Source organism: Homo sapiens, chromosome 6 (genome assembly GCF_000001405.40).
Source record: "Homo sapiens chromosome 6, GRCh38.p14 Primary Assembly".
Classification (NCBI taxonomy): domain Eukaryota; kingdom Metazoa; phylum Chordata; class Mammalia; order Primates; family Hominidae; genus Homo; species Homo sapiens.
In genome coordinates, this window is record NC_000006.12 from 79,791,119 (window position 1) to 79,813,572 (window position 22,454).

At 40.7% G+C, this 22,454-nt stretch overlaps 1 long non-coding RNA gene across 1 annotated transcript, besides 2 other annotated features; it reads right to left on the reverse strand.

Moving 5' to 3' along the window:
* Window positions 10,078-10,247: an enhancer, noted in NCBI's record as "experimental_95971 CRE fragment used in MPRA reporter constructs". NCBI's record gives its function as "activates a minimal promoter by MPRAs in K562 erythroleukemia cells, with activity observed for the non-introgressed 6:80510998 variant allele {active_cell/tissue: K562}" and the evidence as "EXISTENCE:reporter gene assay evidence [ECO:0000049][PMID:34662402]".
* LINC01621 (long intergenic non-protein coding RNA 1621) lies at window positions 12,465-21,128 on the reverse strand. The gene is made up of 5 exons (NR_131786.1): window positions 21,002-21,128; window positions 20,409-20,432; window positions 16,096-16,223; window positions 14,778-14,930; window positions 12,465-12,780 (listed from the first exon to the last, which is right to left on the reverse strand). It is a non-coding gene; the product is annotated as a long intergenic non-protein coding RNA 1621 (long non-coding RNA).
* Window positions 15,354-16,553: an enhancer, noted in NCBI's record as "BRD4-independent group 4 enhancer chr6:80516189-80517388 (GRCh37/hg19 assembly coordinates)". NCBI's record gives its function as "activates an origin of replication core promoter dependent on BRD2, P300/CBP, MED14 and CDK7 cofactors, and independent of BRD4, by STARR-seq in HCT116 cells {active_cell/tissue: HCT116}" and the evidence as "EXISTENCE:reporter gene assay evidence [ECO:0000049][PMID:35650434]".
* Window positions 21,129-22,454: the final 1,326 nt, after the last annotated feature.

Genomic DNA, 22,454 nt, shown 5'->3' on the forward strand with positions numbered 1-22,454 from the left:
CTTTTGAAACCTCTCTCTCTATATATACATATGTATATATTCTAAGTTAAGTATACAGTGAAGCTAATAGACTAGTAGGCAAAGAGGAAATTACCTATCTGTACATTTGATTTTGACAACCATTTGACATCTTGTTCTAGGCCATCCCACCCTGCTCAAGCCAAGCTGCCTCCACCCCACAAAGATGCCCTCCTCATCCCAGCCAACCTCTGTAATCTCACTGGGTGCTGTGTAATGAAGAATGGTAGCAGTAATAATAACAAGCTTCCATTTATTGAGCTCTTACTGTGTACTATCTTTTGCTGCAATGCATCAATGAATATTAAGGTACATACAATATTTTGCACAAATGGAAGTATATGTCTGTAGGAAGAAACCTTCATATGTAACTTCCTTATAAAAGAGGAATTTGTATGTGCATTTTTTTAGCTTTTCATTTTGAAACAACCTCAAACTTAGAGAAAAGCTGCAAGAATAGTGCAAAGAATTTTTTCCCTGAACTGTATGAAAGTGAATTGCTGACATGATGCCTCAGCCTCCAAATACTTTATTGTATATTTCCTATGAACAAGGACATTCTTCTATATGACCACAGATACAGCCATCAAAATCAGGAAATTAACACTGATACATTGTTTATCTTAGATTCTATACAAATGTCACCAATTGTCCCAAACATCCTTTACAGCAAAAGGAGCCAGTCCAGAATCACATGTTGCATTTAGTTTTCTCTTTAGTTTTGTTTACTCTGGAAGAGGACCTCAGGCTTTCCTTGACTTCTATGACCTTGATGCTTTGAAGATTACAGGTCAGTTATTTGGTAGAATGTCTCCCGGTTGGGGTTAGTCTGAGGTTTCCTCATGGTTAGCACTTTTACAACATTACAGAAGCCTCACTGCAGTCTTCTCTTTACATCCTATTACATCATGCATGATGTCAATTTGTCCTATTAATGAGGGTGTTAACTTTGCTTAATTAGGGGGTTGATGAGTCTTCTATACTGTATACTGACTCTTTTGCCCCTGATAATTAATAAGAATTTTGTAGGAAGGTATTTTGAAACCATGTATCTATCCCATTCCTCTTCACTCTTTTGATTCATTCATTTATTCATTCATTCATTTATATTATTATGAATTAATGAATTCTTAGTTTATTCAATAGGCTATAATCCATTAGTATCATTACTTATTTTGATGCTCAGATTATCCCAGACTTGGTCAATAAGAGCCCATTCAGGCTGGCTTTGATTTTGGACGTATGCACATCATTCTTTGAGCACTTCCTGGTTTTCTTGCATAACGAGACGTTCAGGTTTGGCTTTTGCTTTTCCTGCCTCTGCCCTGATATCAGCCATTTACCCTAGGGTCTTTGGTTCCTTTTAGTGCATAAAAGTAATTTGGGCATGAAGTGTGCTCATTGATATTGAGGTGTTTCTGTTCCTAGGCCTTCTCAGTCAACCAAGCTAGCAACCTAACATACACACACACACACACACGTACATGCATACACATATATACTTTACATCATACTTATGTCTACAACTATCTCTGCATACTAAAAACCATGAGTTCATATTAATATCCCCAATTCCAATCCAACATCACGAGGTTCATTCTAGTCTTCTCCCTTTTCATGTCTGTAACTCCATTCTCCAACAGTGAGAATACTGTCTCATGTTATCCTAAATATATTTACTAATTTGATCAAAACCCCTGCATGCTACTATTCTCCATACTCTGCTGCTACCCTCTTCCAACCCTGTATACATGAACACCCTCCTCACTTCATTAGGTCTCTGACACTGTCCACTGGAACTTCCTGGGTTTTGATGCCTGGTTCTGAGCTACTCCCAAACCCACACATGCCTTCCTCACCTTACTTGGGCTCTGACACTCTGTGCCAAACTGCCCTGTGCTGTGTGAATGTCCTCCTTATCCCACTCTGATGCCCTGCAGTGGACAGCTGTTACTACCATCCAACCACCTGGACACCCTTCCCACTGCTTGTGCTCTAACACCTGTGCCTGGTCACTGTTTTGTGTGGTCCCCCTTCTTGCTGCTCAGGCTTTTCTATCTCCCTCAGGCCATATGCTGAGGCCTACTTTGCTCAGCCCCCACCTAATGCTATGTAGGTTTTTAATTTTGAAATTTTTTGCCAAATTGCCATACAGAGAGACTATGAATTTACATCCCACAGCCAGTTGAAGAGCACCTGTCTCCCTAACACCTTCTGCTTTTAGATCTTTGCTCATTTGAGAAGTAAAAAATGTATATATCAAATTGTAGCTTAAAATGTATTTGAAGAAAAATCGAATACTTCTTTAAAACAATAGGAATGCATATTTTCATTAAAGTCCAATATTATGATTTTATTAGCACTCTTAATTTTTAATTCTTGAACACCAAACTTTATAAAACAATGCAATTTTCTCAGTTATGTAATAGCATATTTTTCTGTTTAATAACTAAATTGAGTCCCAGAAACATATTGCTGGTCCCAGATTTAATTGAAAGGGATAGCAAATTTTAATTTCTAATGGGACAAGAAAAACAACACTTGAAAAGTCTGCTTTGACTAGAACAGTTGTCAAATCAGTAATTAATTGTTTATACTTATGTCACTTTGCCTGGAAAGGAAAAATTAAATTTAGGAAGATAAAAAACACCATCACATGATAATAATAGAAGGTCTTGGTCATTTGGTCATGTGTCCTAAGTTTTTGGAGAAAGTCACAATGCCAGAGTACCCTGGATTTCAGAGAAGGCCCCAGGCAACATTTCATTATAATTGGTGATGGTATTTACGGAGCATTAACAGTTCACTAGGAGCAGCCTTCTTCGCAGTGAAGCCCTTGGTACACCAGGAACCCAATGGAAGCTCTCTTTCGTTTATACTTACCCAGTAAGTGGCACTAAACATTCATTTAGATTTCTCTATAGATGGCCCATGGCTGGACAGAGCAGCCTGATGTAATTAGCAGACCATTATTTTCCTTTCAGGGTGTGGTAGAGTTAGACTTGTTAAAACAACCTCCAGAATTGAAATGTGATAGATCCCAAGGAACTGTGCCATTTACGTGTACAATTAACAGAATCATAAGGAAAAACAAAACCTTAGTAATAGCTTAAGTTTTGCATAATTTCCTGCATTTCACCAAGTGACTAGAGATTGTCCAAGGCTCTGCATTTTGGAAATCTAGAGGGCATTCTGCAGCCACCATCTGATATCTCAGACTCACAGTGTATGCCAGAAGATTCTCTGGGCTTTCACAAAAAAGAAAAAAACTTCTTGGCTCATTCTATGGAAGGAGTATACTCAAAAGTTTAATTTTGCCAGCAACAAAGATAATACTGAGGACCATCATCACAGCAATACCTCAGTGATCAAGCATTATTGGGTAGAACAAGTTCTTCTGGGTGAATAAATTTTCAGGATAGCATAACTTTCAGGATAACTGGTGATTTCACTTTGCATATTTTTGCTAATACTTTTTCTATCGGTCATCATTAAAGGATTTCTAGAGCTAGAAAGTTTAAAATTCTCATTTTTCAAGTGAGGAAACTAAGGCATTGAGGTTAAGATAGATGCCCTGGAAAACTGAGGCAGGAAGGTCAATACCAGTCATCAACAAGGTTATAGCGTCATCTACTATGATGCAAGAAGTAGGATGGCAGGGTTCACTAAGGTTAATTCTGGGAGGGGTAATTAGGGTCATAGTCAAGACTCAAGGGAATATGGTAAAGATGGGGTGGAGATGGAAGACAGCAGCATTTATTAGGAGAATTTCTGCTCATCCTTTAAGACTGTCTAAAGATTACCTCCCTGTGAAATATTTCCTGGCACCTCCTTCCTGTCTAGAAAGAATAAATGATCCCACAGCTGTATTCCCTTCGTTTTTTACGGAAGCTTTATCATAGCACCTATCACTTCATGTTTTTTAAATGTGTGGCCTAAAGGAAGAAGTGTTGTTGAATGAAATATTTGTATCTTCAACATACCCAGCATCATCTGACATATGGTAGGTGCGCAAGATAGATTCGTTGAGTAGTTCAATAAATATAGGACTGAAAGATAAATGATGAGAAAAGAACACAAGCTATGTCTTGACTTAGGGTCAGTGTTAGAAGTAACAGTGATTGGCTGAGGATGAATACGCATTCAAGGATGACCCCTTCCCTTGGCTCAGGCTGCTTAACTTTTACAGTTGTTTTTGGTTCTATTTCATTTCTTACCATTAGCTGAAACTCCCCCTAAAAACAAGCATATTACATAATGAATACTATGGACAAGCAGAAACTGGATTTATTGATTCCTGGAAAAAATAATTATTTTTTCAGCAAATATTGTTGAAGGTCTATCATGTACCTGGTGCTGTCATAGATTCTGTGAATTCAACACATTTCTTGCCATTGTGGATCTTACATTCCAGTGGGGACCAGACTGTAGAGAAATGATGCATAATACACGGTCAGACTTTGATGAGAATGATGAAGACAAAGCAAGACAAGGGGTTTGAGGGAGGGGGACGGACTCACATTTTAAGAGGTCAGTGGGGAAGAATGTTTCTCAGAGGAGGTAACTTTGAGCAGAGACCTGTTTTATCCTTTGAAACTCAAACCTGAAGCTTTAAGATTCCAGGCTAATTTAATCTAGATGTCATCTTCTGGACTCCCTCAAATCCCCTTTCCCACAGTCATTTTGCTGCTTGACCAAGACCATTTTTAATGTAGTGGTGATGGCCTGTGTTGCCAAGGCCTGAAAGGTATCTCTTTTCCTAAATGTTTCCCATCTGATCTGGCAGGACCCTCTATCCATTTTAGTTTGCCAGATATTTATAAGAATCTGCCACATTCTAGAAACTGGCCAGGCCTTGGAAATGGAACCAAACATAAGACATGGCTGCAGTCCTCAGTGAACTTACATATTAGAGGGGATTGTAAACACACAAACAAATTAGTTGCAAAAAAAGTGTGATGGGTGCCTTCAGAGCTGTAGGCCCATGGGGACAAAACCCAAAGCAGCTCCTGAGCCTAGGGACTTGGAAAGACACTTAGAAGAGGTGATGTCTGATAAGGTTCAGGACATACTACTAGAAAATATGGCACCTTGGCATATTGAATATTTTAAGCTAAAGGAAGTTGAGAAAACAGCAGAAGCAGGAAGATCTCTCTGACCTTCCCCTGCCCTTTTCCTCTGAAGTAGGTCACAAGACTCCCGCACAAAAGGTGCCCTCCCTATAACCAGAGGGAAGCAGCATTCTTATCTCAAAAGACAAAGGGACACAGTGAAGAATCTGAACACACAGGCCTTGCTAAGTTTCTTCTAGCTTACTACACTCGCCACATACTCTTTGCCCTATCATATTTCTCCACAACTGTTCACTCTTCATCAAACCTACTATCAAAAACACTAGGATTTAACTGTTTTTTTCAGGCCATTTCCTTATGAATACTCCTGCACCATGTAAAAGTTAGATTAACCGAATACATTTGTATGCAGTTCTCTTGTTACTGTGTCTTCTGTTACAGGGTTCTCTTGTTAATGTGTCTTTTGTTACAGGTGCCCCAGCCATGAATTTAGGAGGCTAAAAGGAAACATGCCTGAGCAAAGTTGTAAAAGAGAAGTAGGTATTTTTCAGCCTGACATTGGCACACGCTAAGAAAGACAACAGTGAGGGCACCTCATGCATACATGGACTAGAAAGAAGTTCTGTTTGGACCTCCAGTCTTCTGGTTTAGCTCATTCATAGGCTGTGAGGTGGGGCAAAGGAGGCACAATAAGAGATGGGCACCACTTAATTCTGATAAACTGTACACAGCTAAGTTAAGGGGCAGCAATGTAGTTGAGGTTTGGTGATACAGAAAGAGGCTTTCTTGTGAGGGTCATCAAAAGTCATTATGGAGAGTTTGTATGCCATATATATAAATGTTACATACATATTCGTGCATAAACCATACATATTCAGGGAAATAGGCAGCCCCTGAAATTACTAGGAAAACTAACCAGGGAAGTGTAGGCTTCATGAAATGGGAACAAGGCGAGACCAATGGCTGGATGATGGATTAGTTGACTGTTGCGGTAATCTTTGAGTGGTTGATGAGGTTCTGGACCAGGATTATGTCAAGTGAATAAAGCAAAAATTATCCTCATTATTATATAAGACTGTCAGTGCCAAGAACTACATGACAAGACTGGGCGCTTGACTGGATCTGACAAACGTAAGTGAACCACACTCCATTCAGAAGGCTTTGTCTTCTTTTCTCCCCTTCCTTGTCATCTCAGCTCTGAAAAGAAAAATATATCCTGGCTAATGAGTTTCACTTTACATGACATTAACCAGGAATTTTTATTAACTAGCAAATGGCAACTTCCCATTCTACCTCATCCATTAGGCAATGAATTTTAAATTGAAAGAGAGGTGTTTTAGAGGTCTGTTTCACATCACTGCTTTAATTTCTTGTTTGTCAATGTGTATAGATTTCTGGTGCTGCAGAAATGGATAACTGCTGGCCAAAGAACACAGGGATGCCTGTGACTCCCTGTAGGCTTTTGGATGAATGTTTTGCAGGTACACCTAAAAAACTAATTTTCTTCCCTTACACAATAGATGAAAATGAGAATTTAAGATCTAAATACCACTGCCCAATTTTCTGTCCTCTCGCTCCCCCGCTCCAACCCTCTGAAAGGCAACTATGTCTAAGATGAGACTTATTTTATGTGTCAGAACAAAAAAATGCAATTTAACACACTCTGGAATTATTTCAGAAGCAGTAGACTCTTGAATAATTTAGACTTGTCTCTGAGTTTTAAGCACCAATCAAATAATTAGATAAGGTAAATTAAGGAGGCCAGCAAATGTAATTTACCGGTTTCATCACCTATTATACATTTTCAGATTAAGTGTGCAAAAGCACTTAGAGGAGATGTCAGAGATCCTTCCTGAGGGAAGTCATGTGACCTTCTCTACCTCTCACAAATGCTCCTTTTTATATCAAAGGGCCATTTGTTTGCTCTTAACAGCAAATAGCACACTCTATCCTCCAAATGGCCACCTGCACGAGCCCAGCACTTAAGAAAGACTAAAAAGCTGTATCAACCAGTGATAATGCATGGATCTTTATGAGGCTGATGGAAATGAATTATTTCAGAAAACCATCACAGGAGTAACAATTTCTTAAATGGATTAGATTCAGTTGAGGACTATATTACAGCTTCTTTCTATTCTGGAAAAATCTAAATCACTTCAATATTGTCCATAATAAAGTTTCCTAAATAGACCCATGAAATAAAAGGAAGTGCTTACTAACTGCTATGTACCAGCCATCAGCCCAAATTCTTCATCAAACTCTCCATTATCCAAGATCCACTCTACAAGATGCCAAACGGTCTAACTCCCTCCCACACGTCAGTGGGAGACACCAGGATGGGATATTTGAAAGTCACCCAAGATGTGAGGAGGGACCTGTTCTCCATCTTCACTACTCATCCTTTGGAAATTTTCTTTCAGGCCAAAGGAAACATGCCTGAGGAGTGGACCCCAAGCAGCCTGCACTGGGGCTGCCAATGGGAGGGAGCACCTGCCTGGGCGGGAAGGATAAAGTGGGAATATGGGTCTTCTTGTAACTCACCACACCAGTGGTCTGCAGATTTTGTTGTGTATCAGAATCACCCACAAGGCCCCACCCCCCCAGAGTTTCTGTTTTAGTGTATCTGGGGAAGAGCCTGAGAATTTTTATTTCCAACAAATTTCCAGATGATGTCAATACTGCTGGTCTGGGACCACACTTTAAGAACCATAGCATCCTTTTGGAAACTCTCAGGAGGGGGCTGGTGGCTGGCTAGGATTGTACCCTCGTTTCTGTTTCTTTATATCCTTGGGTATTAGTCATCCTTACTTACCCCTCATTGGCTGATTTTGCCTCCTTCCCCTGCCCTCAACACAGTCATTGCTATCAGTAGGCCTTGGCCTCTTCTTCACCCTATCAGAACATCCTTCCTCCTCTTTTCTGTCTCTTCATCTTCCTTTCATTCTCTAAAGCTCAAGTCAAATCCTATTCTTTCCACGAAGATGATTCTAAACAGCTCAAGCTCTCATTTCTCTCTCTTATTTTCCCTGAAGTCTTCCAGTTTTGGTGGTCTGTAGTAAGTCTTAATTGTTCTCAGACTGATTCATGGGGTTTTGTTCTTCAAGTAAATTGTAAGTTCTTGCAGGTAGGGATGGTTCATAGATAAAAGTGGTGATGGTATTTAATATGGTCAATGTTTACCATGTGTTAAGCATTGCACTAACCCTTTTACATGTATTAATTCCTGAGGCATTATCATTCCCCTTTTACAAGTGAGGAAAACTGAAGAACAGATAGTGTATAATATGCATAATATCACACAGGAGCACTTGGTGGGGCCAGTATTGAAGCCAAGACCACCTGAGTTCACTTTAACCACTACCCAGGTGATGCAAGAGTCCCCTAAGCACCTCAGGCAAAGCACTCAGCATAGCACCTGGAATATAGTGGCACGAGCACTCTGTAAATGGCAGCCAGGATTCCAGAATGAAAGGCTGATTCCTGAGTGGTTACTGAGGGAGCTGAGCAGACACATAGCCTATGTTTTCTTATGATCATTTTACTTTGATCAATGCCTTTTGCATTATCCTAAGCACACAGAAATGATGCTTATATGTGTTGCTTCACACATAGCCCAATTGTCTTTGCACAGTGCTATTCACCTTTTATTTTCTTTTTATTTTCATGGGTGATGGCCTGTATTTGAATGAGTAGGATGGAGTTACAAGAGTGTCCCATGTTCACGAAACAGTTTTTGTTTTGTTTTTTGAGATGGAGTTTCACTCTTGTTGCCCAGGCTGGTGTGCAATGGTGCGATCTTGGCTCACTGCAACCTCCACCTCCCGGGTTCAAGCGATTCTCCTGCCTCAGCCCTCCTGAGTAGCTGGGATTATAGGCATGCAACACCATGCCTGGCTAATTTTGTATTTTAGTAGAGACAGGGTTTCTCCATGTCGGTCAGGCTGGTCTTGAACTCCAGACCTCAGGTGATCCGCCTGCCTCAGCCTCTCAAAGTGCTGGGATTATAGGCTTGAGCCACTGCACCTGGTCGAAACAGTCTTTATGCTCTAAGATTTGTCACTCATTTGGGGCCTTAATCAATAACCCCAGGACTTAATAGCTCTGCAGGTCACACAACATGTACCAATTGCCAGATGTGAAAATAGAAAATAAAATATAACACAAAAATTCATATTTACAAATTTTCATTTTCACAGCAATATCTTTAATAGTGAAGCCAATAATGACACCGTGAAGCACTGATAATCACTATAGCAATCTTTACAAACTCTATAATATAGCAGTTAATGTATTGCTATTCTTTTGCTCAAATTCAAATCTGTTTTTTGGCATATCTCTTAATTCCCACCAGATGAACATGTTTATAGGTACACTGAAAGCCTAGAGTATTATTTGGTTAGGATGGCTTCTTTTAACATAAGAAGCTCTAACATTTATATTTCAAAGAATGACACACATTATTTGTCACACATCAAAATTCTGAATATACCAAGCAGTCATGCTTGTCATTATACTAAGTCTTCCTTACAGGTAGTCTATTTATCTAACACACTTTTCTCCCTGAAGCACTGAGGTATATGCTTTTGTATACTTCTATTTGTATTTAAAAGGCAGAAAATAATGTCACAAGCAGGTCAGGCGTGGTGGCTCATGCCTGTAATCCCAGCACTTTGGGAGGCCGAGGCGGGCAGATCACAAGGTCAGGAGTTCAAGACCAGCCTGACCAATATGGTGAAACCCCGTCTCTACTAAAAAAAAAATACAAAAAAACTAGCTGGGCATGGTGGCATGCGCCTGTAATCCCAGCTACATGGGAGGCTGAGGCAGGAGAATTGCTTGAACCCGGGAGACGGAGGTTGCAGTGAGCCTAGCTGAGATCATGCCACTGCACTCCAGCCTGGCGACAGAGACTCCGTCTCAAAAAAAAGAAAGAAAGAAAGAAAAAAGGAAAGAATGTCACAAGCAGAAACCACTTAACTAAAAATCCCAAAGAATCCATATCAATCTATATTACCTTGCACATTGAGCATGAGCACCAACATGCTTAAGTAAACAGATGGACTTTGAAGAAAATGGGTGCAATTAGCAGTGTGGACTGGGCTGATACCTGTACAGGGATGCTGCAGGATGCCCGAGTCACTTTGTATGAGCTAAATGAGAAGGACAGCACCTCTTAAGGACCACAGGTACAAAGGTAGGCTCAAGCCTCAAACTCAAGGAGGTAGCTTGTCCCCACCCCTAGGAAAGGCAGCAGAGTAGTTACACTGGTGGCAGCAATATAGAACCAAAGTGGAAGGTACTTATTTGGGCAAAGTCTTGCTTAAAGATGCAGTGAGTCATGTGCTGCAGATGGCAGGCCATGGTGGTTAAAGCCTCAGCTTTGAGGTGGCCTGGCTCTACCCAGTCAAGCTTGTTGCCTGCAGAGCCCCATTTTTGGCCTCATTTACTAAATTGTTATTAGCAGCCTCTAAGCCTACTGCCTTCCCCATACACACATGGATGGTTCTTTTTCAATTATTGATGCTAATGGGTGAGAGGAATAGGGAAAATAATGAATAATTGACTCCCAACTTCATATTCCTTTACTTAACACTTCCCCAGTCTTCTCCACATCCAAATATCTTATCAAAGTTTCCAGCAAATTTTAACCTTGAGGGATGTACCCAAATGTCCTTCTCTGGGACTCTGAATTCCCAGTGCTTTTTTGTGTGTTGATGTGTTTGCTTGCAGGAATTGCAAGAACCTAGAAACTCCCAGAACCCCTGCCCTGAGGAGACTTGCAGAGTTCTCCCTGGAGGTCTTTAGAAGGCTGGATTCATAACTAGGTCTCTCTTAACCAAAGCATCCAGCCTCCCCTAGAAATATGATAATCTTCAGCTTCTAACAAAGAGGCTTTGCCTTGTGGCGTTTAGCTTCCGGTCAGTTAGCTGTTCTTTCTCCTTCCATCCCAGATCAATCTCAGAAAACCAGGTTAGCTCTAAATGTGGCAACCATTAGGAGCATACTGTCGGTGTGAATTTGTGTGTAAATTTAGAAATATTGCCACTTCCCTCCAAAGCTATTTCTCCCTTCTTAAATCAAGAGGAAGAAAATGGCTAATTTCTTGGTTGAAATCATTTCTGTCATTTTACTATGTACTTGAGACTATTGCAAGCAAATGTATAGATTTTTACTAAACTGTATTGGTTTTTAGAGCTGAAGATTTTAGAAAGCCACTCCAGATCTCAGGCTTCTAAACAAACTGCCAGTGAGATCAAAGCTGCTCTGTCTGGCTCAAGTATTATAGCCCAGGAACCTGAGTGAGTTTTGAGCAAGAAATAATCTAAAACAAAAACAAACAAACAAAAAAATAACTGCCTCTAATTCTGCATAGCAGACACTCACCAATTAACTGATTATCAAATGCTTTTTGACAGAGCAATCTTGCCCTTGGTATAACTTAAATACATTTGTTTATCAATTGCTGTTTGCTTTTTTTATTTTTCATTAATATATGGGAGGTTTTGTTTCTGGGTGGTCTGTTGATAGTTCAACTTCATTGTGACTCATGCTCCCCAGCCCTCCACTCTTCTCCATCTTGGAGGAAAACCAGAAACCTCACTACCCAGTTCTTTTCCTATGTGCCTCGAGGTTACATTTGTCCAGTGAGAGGCACCCCCGTGAAACATCTGAGGCAGAAAAGGAGAAGCCATTTTTCTTTAGTGCCAGCTACAGGCGGTTACTCAGAGCCTCAGCTTCTCAGGGTCCTGCTGAGAAGCACCTGCTATGGGCAACTTGATCACAACAGAAGCCCCAATTTCTCTTGAGATCTCTGCATTTCAGATGCCCTAAGAGCAACCGTCTGACCTTTCCTTACCCAGCCCTTCTAATGGTTGTGCAAGCCTTAATTCCTCTTTCAACTCTCTCCAACTCATCAAAAACCTAGCATGACTTCTGTTTTCTGATTAAATCCTGACTGATACTGGGGCCAGGGATTCATTCTCTTATGCCTCTTTTTCCTCATGATACAAAAGCTAGGGGTATCAGTCAGTAAGCAGTGAGAAAGTACTTATTGAAAGCACAGGGCGGGTGTGGTGGCTCATGCCTGTAATCCAGGACTTTGTGAGGCTGAGGTGGGTGGATCACCTGACGTCAGGAGTTCGAAAGCAGCCTGGCCAACATGGTGAAGCCCCACCTCTACTTAAAAAAAAAAAAAAAAAATTAGCTGAGTGTGGTGGCAGGCGCCTGTAGTCCCAGCTACTTGAGACGCAGAAGCAGCAGAATCACTTGAACCCAGAAGGTGGAGGTTGCAGTGAGCCGAGATCACACCACTGCACTCCAGCATGGGTGACAGAACGAGACTCCATCTCAAAAAAAAAAAGCACATAATTACATAATTTATATTGCAGTGTATTAGGTATAACACACATCAAGATAAAGTCCCCAAATAAAACAGATACAATAATGACCACACATATATAAAATGTATATGTAAACACAATAACTAAAAGTTTGTGCCAAGGAAAGATTGGATCAGGGAATCTTCTGGAGGCAAGAAAATCACTAAGATGTTTCCTTTCTTTCTAAAATCTGCTGGGCAAATGTTCAGCAGACAGCTTTTTTGGACATGCGCTGTCGTCCTTGACTGCATCCATCCTGAGCTGCAGGGCAGCACTGTCACTGTATGTCAGGGACACAGGAGGAGGGAGGCCTGTGAATGAAGAAATGTAGTGTTTAATTTTCTGCTGCTTCCTGAACACTCACAGGGTATATCTGGGAAGAATTTGAGGCCATGAATAGTTCCATTAAAAGGTACACCTATCATTTATAAAGATCTGGGATTCAAGACAGAAAATGCTGACTCAACTGGCTTAAACCACATGGAATGGATGCAGGAACAATCAGAGGCCCCATGATGCCATCCACCCAGGTTTGTCTTGTCCTCTCCTCTGCTGTCCTCAGCATCAGTTCTATTTTGATGCTGTCCTCCCTGTGGAGGCAAGACAGCTGCCACATTCCTAAGTAACACATCTAGAAACAAAATACCATTGGGTGCCAAAAAGGGAGCATGGTTTCTGGTGTTTGTATTTTCAGAAACAGAGAAAACTCTCCCTCTAAACTCCCAGCATTCCACCTCTCTTGCATGTCCCACTGGCTAGAAATGAGTCACAAGCCCACTCCTAAACCTATTATTGGAAAGAGAATGGGGTCATACAAATGGGCTTAGTTCAGCCAGGATTCAGCCCTGGAAGTGGGGTAAGCCCCCTGCTTTGTGCCACATTGGAAAGAGATGAGTGCCTGATACTGGGGCTTTGACAATAGAAAATCAGGAGGGGATATATATTTCTCTAGAAATGATCTGATCAAAATGGTAGTTACTGGCTGCGCACAGTGGCTCACGTCTATAATCTCAGCATTTTGGAAGGCCAAGGCAGGAGGATTATTTGAGCCCAGGAGTTCAAGACCAGCCCAGGCAATATAGTGAGAGACCCAGGCTCTACCCACCAGCCCTCACAAGAAAAAAATTTTCTGGGCATTTGGTATGTGCCTGTAGTCCCAGCTACTCAGGAGGCTGAGGTGAGAGGATCTCTTGAGCCTGGGAGGTCAAGGCTACGGTGAGCTGAGATCATGCCACTGCACTCCAATCTGTCTCCAAAAGAAAAAGAAGAAAAGGTAGTTACTTATTGTAACAGGAAGCAAGGAGGGCCTCAGATTTGTCAGTGTTGTTCATGACAACCACACACTTTCAGAAAGTTTCAGTGGGATTCACACCTTACTTTGCACCACCACACTCCACGGGGCTTGGATGCAATTGTGCTGTATGTAAATGTGTATTGTGTATTCAACTATTCCTGGAATTCTATTTTCAATCCTGATCTTAATTAGAGGGATACTTCTTTACCACGACAAAGTCATGGTCAGAAGAGAAGCTCAACATTGTATTGAGGTCACAGAAATAGAATTCCATTATTGTGCCTAGAGCAAGCTGAGCCACATGGGTGGGAAATTTTAGACTTCAGGATTGAGGGGCCAACAGAAAATATTCAAAAATATGCAATGAATACCTTTCCACAGAATAAGACAATGCCATACATGGCCCAACTTGATCTGGTGTTTTCTCTATGTTATTAGGGTTTTCTGCAAAAGCAAACAAGCAAAAAACAGTGGTTCCATTGTTAACTATATTTGGGAAATGCTGAACTAAACAGGGTAAAACAGGTGTATCTACTTCAGGACCTCTCAGAGTTGTTGACACGGTGCCACAAATTGTGGCTCTCCAAAAGGGGACATTATATTCAGTGTTCCCCAAACATATTTGACCACAGAATACAAAATGGAATATGGTGAGACTGATGTGCAGAATCCACTTTGGGAAAGGCTGCTCAGGCCCTTCATTTTACAGCTAAATAAACTGAGGACCTGTGAAATGAAGGAATGTGTCCAAGCTTGCTCCATTAGCCAGGATTCCTCGGGAAACAAATGGAAGCATCAAGAGAGTTTGAAATTTAAAAAAAATGATTAATGTAGGCAGGATTAGGGAAGCCAACAAGATATAGTGAGACACCCAGGTGGTGGCTCTTGCCACCCCAACCCTAAAGGGGAAAGAGAAGGAAGCTTGTTACTGGAGCTCAGCTGAGAGCTGGAGAAACGGAGGGGCTGCCTGTCAGAACTGTCATGGGGTAGGGAAGAGGGGGATAAATACATGACCTCAGCCTGTCTCTCCTCCTGTCCTCTCCTTTCCCACTGGTGCTGCCCATTGGCCAAATCCATCTGGAAGCCAGAGGGCGGAAGCCTGGTGATGCAGTTTGTAGAGGTCAGCCTCCCAGGCACAGAGCTGAGCAGAGAAGGGTGAGCACATATCTGTGGGGCAGGTGGGGAATAAACAGCACAATTACATAGCTAGTATTTTGCCTTTTTCATTTTTTAAAAAAAGTTTACCTCATATTTTATAAACTTATGTAAGTTGGCTTAATAAAATTTAATGCAATATAAAACAAAAAATGCTAAAAACATAAAGCAATGGTTTTCAAGATGTGGTCTCAAAGTGTGATTTCCAGGGGTTCCCAAGACCCTTCAGATCTGCAAGGTCAATTTGTAATAATACTATGATGTTACCTCGTGTTTTCCTTTCACTCTTTCACAAGCAACCCGTGGGTTTTCCCATGCTGAGTGATGATGTTATTGACTGCTAACGGAATGTGTGCCTGTGCATTCTCATGATTTAAAATTCATCCCATTTTAATTTCTAATGTAGTAGATGATAAACATTACTCAAATAAACACAGTTTCTTTGGGTCCTCAATTATTTTTGATGTAAAGAAACCCTGAGACCAAAATGTGAAAGAACCACTGATGTAAAGGTAGCCAAAGGACAGATGTGTCCAGGTGAGAGGTGAAGCCAGCTGGACTTCCTGGGTCGAATGGGGACTTGGAGAACTTTTCTATCTAGAGGATTGTAAATGCACCAATCAGCACTCTGTAAAAATGCACCAATCAGTGCTCTGTATCTAGCTAAAAGATTGTAAATACACCAATCAGTGCTCTCTATCTAGCTAAAGGATTGTAAATACACCAATCAGCACTCTGTAAAAACGCACCAATCAGCACTCCATGTCTAGCTAAAGGATTGTAAATGCACCAGTCAGCACTTTGTAAAATGGACCAATCAGCACTCTGCAAAATGGACCAATCGGCACCCTGTAAAATGGACCAATCAGCAGGACATGGGCGGGGCCAAATAAGGGAATAAAAGCTGGCCACCCAAGCCAGCAGAGGTAACCCGCTCCGGTCCCCTTCCATGCTGTGGAGGCTTTGTTCTTTTGCTCTTTCCAATAAATCTTGCTGCTGCTCACTCTTTGGGTCTGCACTACCTTTAAGAGCTATAACACTCACTGCAAAGGTCTGCGATTTCACTCCTGAAGTCAGCGAGACCACGAACCCACTGGAATGGAGAAACTCTGGACACATCTGAACATCTGAAGGAACAAACTCCAGATACACCATCTTTAAGAACTGTAACACTCACCACGAGGGTCCAAGGCTTCATTCTTGAAGTCAGCGAGACCAAGAACCCACTGGAAGGAATACATTCAGGACATACAGGTACTTGAAAGGAACTATTCTTCATGCTGGGCACCAAATCTTCTAGTTTATCTAACAGTAAAGTCGATAGGAAACATAAGGGTTAGATGGTAAGTCATCTCTAGAGCCTGAGATGTGACTTGGGTAAGTTTTCTAACAACAAAGTATAAGAAGCCCTTGTGTGGAGTTCATGTATAATGATCTACTTATTTAAAAACGATATATGGGATACTGGATAATAAAACAAAGTATCTTTATTGCAAGAGTGGTGCATCAATTTCCTATTGCTGCATAATAAATAATCACACATTTGATGGCCTAAAAACCATACCCATTTGTTATCTCACAGTTTTTGTGGGTCAGGAATCTGGGCATGTCATAACTGGGTTCTCTGCTCAGGGTCTCACAGGGCTGAAATCAAGGTGGATTGCATTCTCATCTGGAGGATGCAATGGAAATGCTAGGATCTGCTTCTAAGCTCCTGCAGGTTGTTGGCAGAATTCATGTCTTTATGACTGTAGAATTAATGGCAGCTTGCTTCTTCAAAGCCAGCAACAGAAATAAGAGTCTTTACTGCTTCAGGTCTCGAACTTCAGGGAGGGCCTGGACCCTCTTTTAAAAAGCTCACTGATTTGGCCAGGCCCACTGAGGGTAAATGCTCTTTTGTTTAACTAAAAGTCACTTGATTAGGGATCTTAATTATACCTGAAAAAAGTCCCTTCGACTTTGCCATAAATATAATTACAGGAGTGGTATTTCCTTACTTTTGTTGTATCTTATGGTTAAAAGCAAGTTATGATTTCCACCCACATTCATGGCAAGGGGATTAAGAGCATGACTCATTAGGGGTCACCCTATGGTGTATCTGTCAGAGGTGGGGAACAGATTCAACCATAATCAGAAGGGTTTTAATACAAAGAGTTTTAATACAAAGGCAGCACAAGTACATGACTAAACTCCTGAGTGAAGACCTTAGAAGTAATATTCTTTTGGGCAAGATTCCCCTTGTGTGAACAACATTCCAGACTCTCAATCAAAACACTACAGTCAAAATGAGAACACAGAAATATAGAAGCATTGCTACCTTGGACAAATGAGGCAACGACAAAGATGATGTAAAAGGTGAATCAGAATCAAAATAAAGCCGCACCAGGATCCTACAATTCTGCTACTAATTGGTTTGGTGAATTTGGCACCTCTAATCATCATTGGCAAACACTAATCATGCTGTAAAAGCTAATTAGGATTAAGGAGCATTATCCGGGAGGCCAAGGGGAAGTGTATGAGGTTTTAAAGGCCCTAATATATGTCTTTGAATTTGTTAGACTGATATTTTAGTATTTTCCAAAGCTCTCTTCCTGAAAACTGTTGAGAAAAAAAGCTGATAGGATTTTTAAATGAATATCCTACAGATGAGGGGGTATTGAAGGAATTTTCTAGGAATAAACTAGTCTAACTTGGAGGTGATAATTTCCTTCTGTAAAGATGGAGGAGGCCACTCTCAATGCCCATGAAGCAGAAACAATACTTGTAGAATTTATCAGAGGAGCTCATTCATCTAGATGATAAAGGTTACTATTTTGGGGAGAGGGGAACAACTTCAGTGGCTCTCTGTGCTCTGTACACAGTCTGCTCTCAAAACTGTTGATTGAAGATGAGGATGAAGATAGTGAAGATGAAGAAAATGATAATCCTCAGAGAGTTCAAAACCCTACCTCTAAATAGCTGTCTTTGCTAATAATGCCTTGTTACTAACCAGGGCCATGTGACATGAGATACACGACTGGCCTCCAGCTGAGGAAGGTGAGAGAATAGAGAGGAGAGGGGACGCTGCCATGTCAGGGAGCTCTTGGGTGGAAGGCAGACAGCCTCAGAGACAGATTTCACCTAATGTAAATGTTTCCCAGAATGGTTGCTATTTTTGTTCTAAGTAGTTTGCTTATGCCAAAAGTGCATATTTCCCCAACAATCCTCAGGAAATAAGACACAGAAGTCTGTCTTTAATTTTCATGATATCCTGCAATTTAAATCAGTCTGGGTGCATCTGTGTGGTTTTTATTTTTTGGTATTGTTTAGATGTAATTAAGCAAATCAATACACAGGTACTTAATTATATATTAACAGGGCCATTTGTTAACAAACTTAGTTATAGGATGGAATTAAACTGTAGTAAAGATTTAAAAACCTGCAATAAATTCAATTAATATCAGGTCATTACTCAGAATCTGAATTTATAGATATATTACCATCTTGACAGGAATTTATATTGATTGGATATTTTGAATATTAATAAAATATAAAATTTAGTATTAATAAGTGGGACTATGGTACAATTTTAAAAAGAAAAAAACAAAATTGTGGTTTTTCTAGTTCTTTTAGAGTTGAAGGGGTTAATATGTTTCTCTGAGTCTCACATATTTGTATTTGCCTCTATGCCTATCAAAATTTTATAAAAGCTACTCTAAGATTGGTTTTCTTAATTTTTGTTTTTCGTCCATTTATTCGTGTTTATTAAGGAAAACGGTAATGGAGCTAAAGGTAGGTGAGTCGGCTGTAATTAAGGAAGCTACGGTAATTAAATTATTGTACGGCCACCCCTCGAGCTGTCATTTGAAAGGATGAAAGCTTAATTTTTCCATCAACAAAGTCAATTTCATCCAAGCTGTTGTTTAGAATGCCACATGCATTTAAAAATTACATGTTTAAACTAATCAGGAGCAAATGGAATTTAAACCCCTCTTCAAAATAACATGGATAGATTGTAAATTTATGGAGCATTTTCACTATAGAAAATTAAGTCCATTCAAAACATATCCAGGAGTCATCAGGCAAACAGGGCAGTACTGATGTAAACTACCCACTGTGTGAGCTTAAGGCAGAAGGGTCTCTAATAAATTCGAGTAAATAGCAGCTGAACTGGCCTCACCATGGCTTATGTGTTCAACCTAGCAAGGAAAAAGTTAGCATTAATTGGTACACTCTAGGCTCTCTCAAAGGAACAGGCACTTAGAGCAATTAAGTCAGATGCAGAAAAACAGCTCTGCATTGAAAAGCTGACAGCAGGACTCCTGCACAATATACGTAATGAGTGGCTGAGGACTTTAATGGATCGAGGCTTGGAGACTAATGGACAATTAATGTAAAACAGATGACTTCCCTTGGAGATGACAGTCTTTTGAAAGGCGCTTCACCTGCTGCTCGAACAAATGCGGCTAAAGTGAAATGAAAACAGGAACGTGGTCTCATTGAACGAGGCTAGAGCTAGTATTTGTGTCCCTGCTTTCTCCTTGAATAGTTTCAAAAACTAGGTCAGGAATTTAACAATTCCCTGCAGCTGGTGGTGCAAGCCCCCTCTCGTGGCCTCCCGCCATCCAGGGTGGCCTGAGATCACTGACTGTGCCTCTTGAGCCTTTTGAGAAGCTGCCCTAGCTCGCCTTGTTTAACAGGCAAAAAGAAGACAGGACATATTATAGTGTTCCAGCCTCACTTTTAAAATGACAACAAACCACCCCAACATAGAAATTGCAGTAAATACATATTGGAACATCTATTGGAAATTTAAGAACATGGTTTCTTCTCAAATTAGGCTATTTTAATTTTAAATTAAGATAACTGGAGTCCTTCAAATTTAAGCTTTATAAGCACAGACAGGCTCCCTCCTTATGATAAGTGGTTGTGTACCGAAAGCAAATAATTGTTTGCAAAGAGAAACTCATTTCCTATAGAAACAATGCTGCGGTGGCATTTAATTTTCCACGTGATCTTCCTGAAATCTGTTTAACCCAGATGGAAGCTTAACACAAGTCAGCCTGAGCCCTGGGTCCTGGAACAGGGAGGAGTCAGCTACTCCTGTGGGAGAGGGGAAAGAAGAGGGAGACAAAGATGTTTCCCCCTCTTAGTGGGAAATGGGATTGGACTGAGCTATAATTTTGAGTTACAAACTAATCCTTGGCAATTTTCTATCTTCTAACATCCCTTTACTCAACACTCAAGAAATCAGTGCCTTATGTCATTTAAGTCGCTAGGCATTTCACCCCTGCCCCCAAGCCCCCAACTCCTCTCCTCACTACAGATGTACATATCTTAGCAATTCCCTATTTGTTCTCCTGTAATTTTTCTTCCATTTTCTCATAACAGTACATCTCATCTAGAAATTGAGGAAAGCAGCTTGTATGGGCTAATGAACACCTTTGGTTGATGGCCTGAGCACTCCCAGAAGCCTCTGCATATTAAAGAAAGAATTGCTTCTAAACTCACATGCATGTCCCATTGACAGAATTTCTGTAAGAAAAAAAAAAATCAAGTCAAAATTTCAGGTATCTAATTCAAAAAAACCCACAAGTGCAGGAGAAACGTATTAGGATATTTGTTATAGCAATGAAAAGTAGAAACCACGTAGAAGTCAATGAGAAAATGCCTTAAGTGTGATATATTCATATGATGTCAGATTATGCAGGAGTTATGTGGGTACATTAGAAAATTAGCAAACGTCACCCTTTTCTCTCAGCCTGATTAGGTTTCAGCCCCCATGTGCCTGCTCAGCAAGACATGGTTGAACAAGGGTGAGATTTGCACAGCTCAGTTTATAAGCTCTGCCCCTCCCTGCCAAGTGAACACAGAGCCACGGCAAGGGTAGAACTTGTATTAAGGCCACAAATATTAATATATGTAGATTGTATGTTTTAATCCAGAAATTCATGTAGTTGATGTGGCATCTACTAAAAGTTGGGTAGGCAGGAAATACCTATTTTCTTCAAATCAAATTCAATATGGCTGCCATCCCCTATGTCACTGAATTGCAAGAAATTCAATCTTCATTATTTGTTTCCTCCCCTCCTCCCTGGGTTTACCTAAAAATTGGGAGGATTATTTGGTGCCCAGAAAATGAGCAAGTCTCTCAGTGGGTCCAGAGTGCTCTGAATCTTCATTCCGAGGCTCTAACTGAGGCGGCTGGCTCTCCTGGTTCTGCACCAAGCTGCTTCCCTTCAAACAGCATTCTCACCTGAGTAGCAGCTTGACTGGGGGCAGTGCCAAGAAAGGGGCTTTGGGAATGTCCCTTCCTCCCATTTCAAAAGCTTCCATGTTCCCTGGACAAACTCATTGACCCATTCCCGCCCGTGCCAGCCCTCTCAGTGAGCTCAGGTTTCAGGCAAGGGAGGTAGGTTTCCAGGTGGCCAGGAGGAGCAGTTACCTTAATGCAGTGGTTCTCAGCACGTGGGTCCCGTAGTTACAGTTAGAAGGAGAAATACCTAATGTAGATGACGGTTGATGGGTGCAGCAAACCACCATGGCATGTGTATACCTATGTAACAAACCTGCACGTTCTGCACATGTATCCCAGAACTTAAAGTTTATATATATAGGCCAATTCTTGATTCTTGAACTCCATCCCAGACTTGCTGAATCAGAAACTGGGGGCACAGGCAGCATGCTGCATCTTAAGCCTTAAAGGAATCTTAAAGGTCAGGGCTTTCTGCTCTGACCTCACAACAAACCACCCAGAGGGCAACGGTTCTGGCTACCTCCTTTAAATAGAGAAGGGAAAAATAGAGAGGTAAAAGCAAAACAGTCCTCATTCTCTCAGATACCTCTATAGCAGCAAAAAAATAACAAATAAAAAAACCCCACATATATACCTTAATGATCTCTCCCCTCTGATAAGGCACTGTGTAAAGCAAAGTTGAGATTTATAAAGGATAAAGAAAACCTGAACTCATTTGATCCACACGCCACCAACAAATCCTCGCCCCTACCTTCCAGGTTTAAGAATTCAGGAGGCTTTATCCTAAAAAAAAAGCATGCTGAGAAATAAAGGTCAAGTATTTAGACTAGGCTGTTCCACATCTCCATGGAATGAAGAAACGTGTGGACACCCCTGGAATTTCAATTGGTTCTCCTTTTACAAGGATTTTTATACTAATCAAGATGGAACCAGCACATAACTTCCTTATACTAAAGAATTTCATATTAAGAAAATACAATATCCCCCCAATCTATTATATCAGATAAATGCTAATTTTTATCACATCATCTTATTTCAACTTTGTTATAAAGGCTTGATTCATGCAAAAGTGGAGAGTCATCATTTTTGTTCTTAAACCCAATTAAATGTCACTTCCTGATTCATCCTCCTGCTGCTCCAGATACTTCTAACACATTTCAGACCTGAAATTTTTTAAGCTGCTTCTTCTTTTCCAAGTGATTTTAAGAACCTAGCATTAAAACATAATTACATGGCGGAAAAATACTTTTGAAGCTGCTCAGTGTGACTTTTTTTAATAGTGAGTTTTCTGACTTGCATGC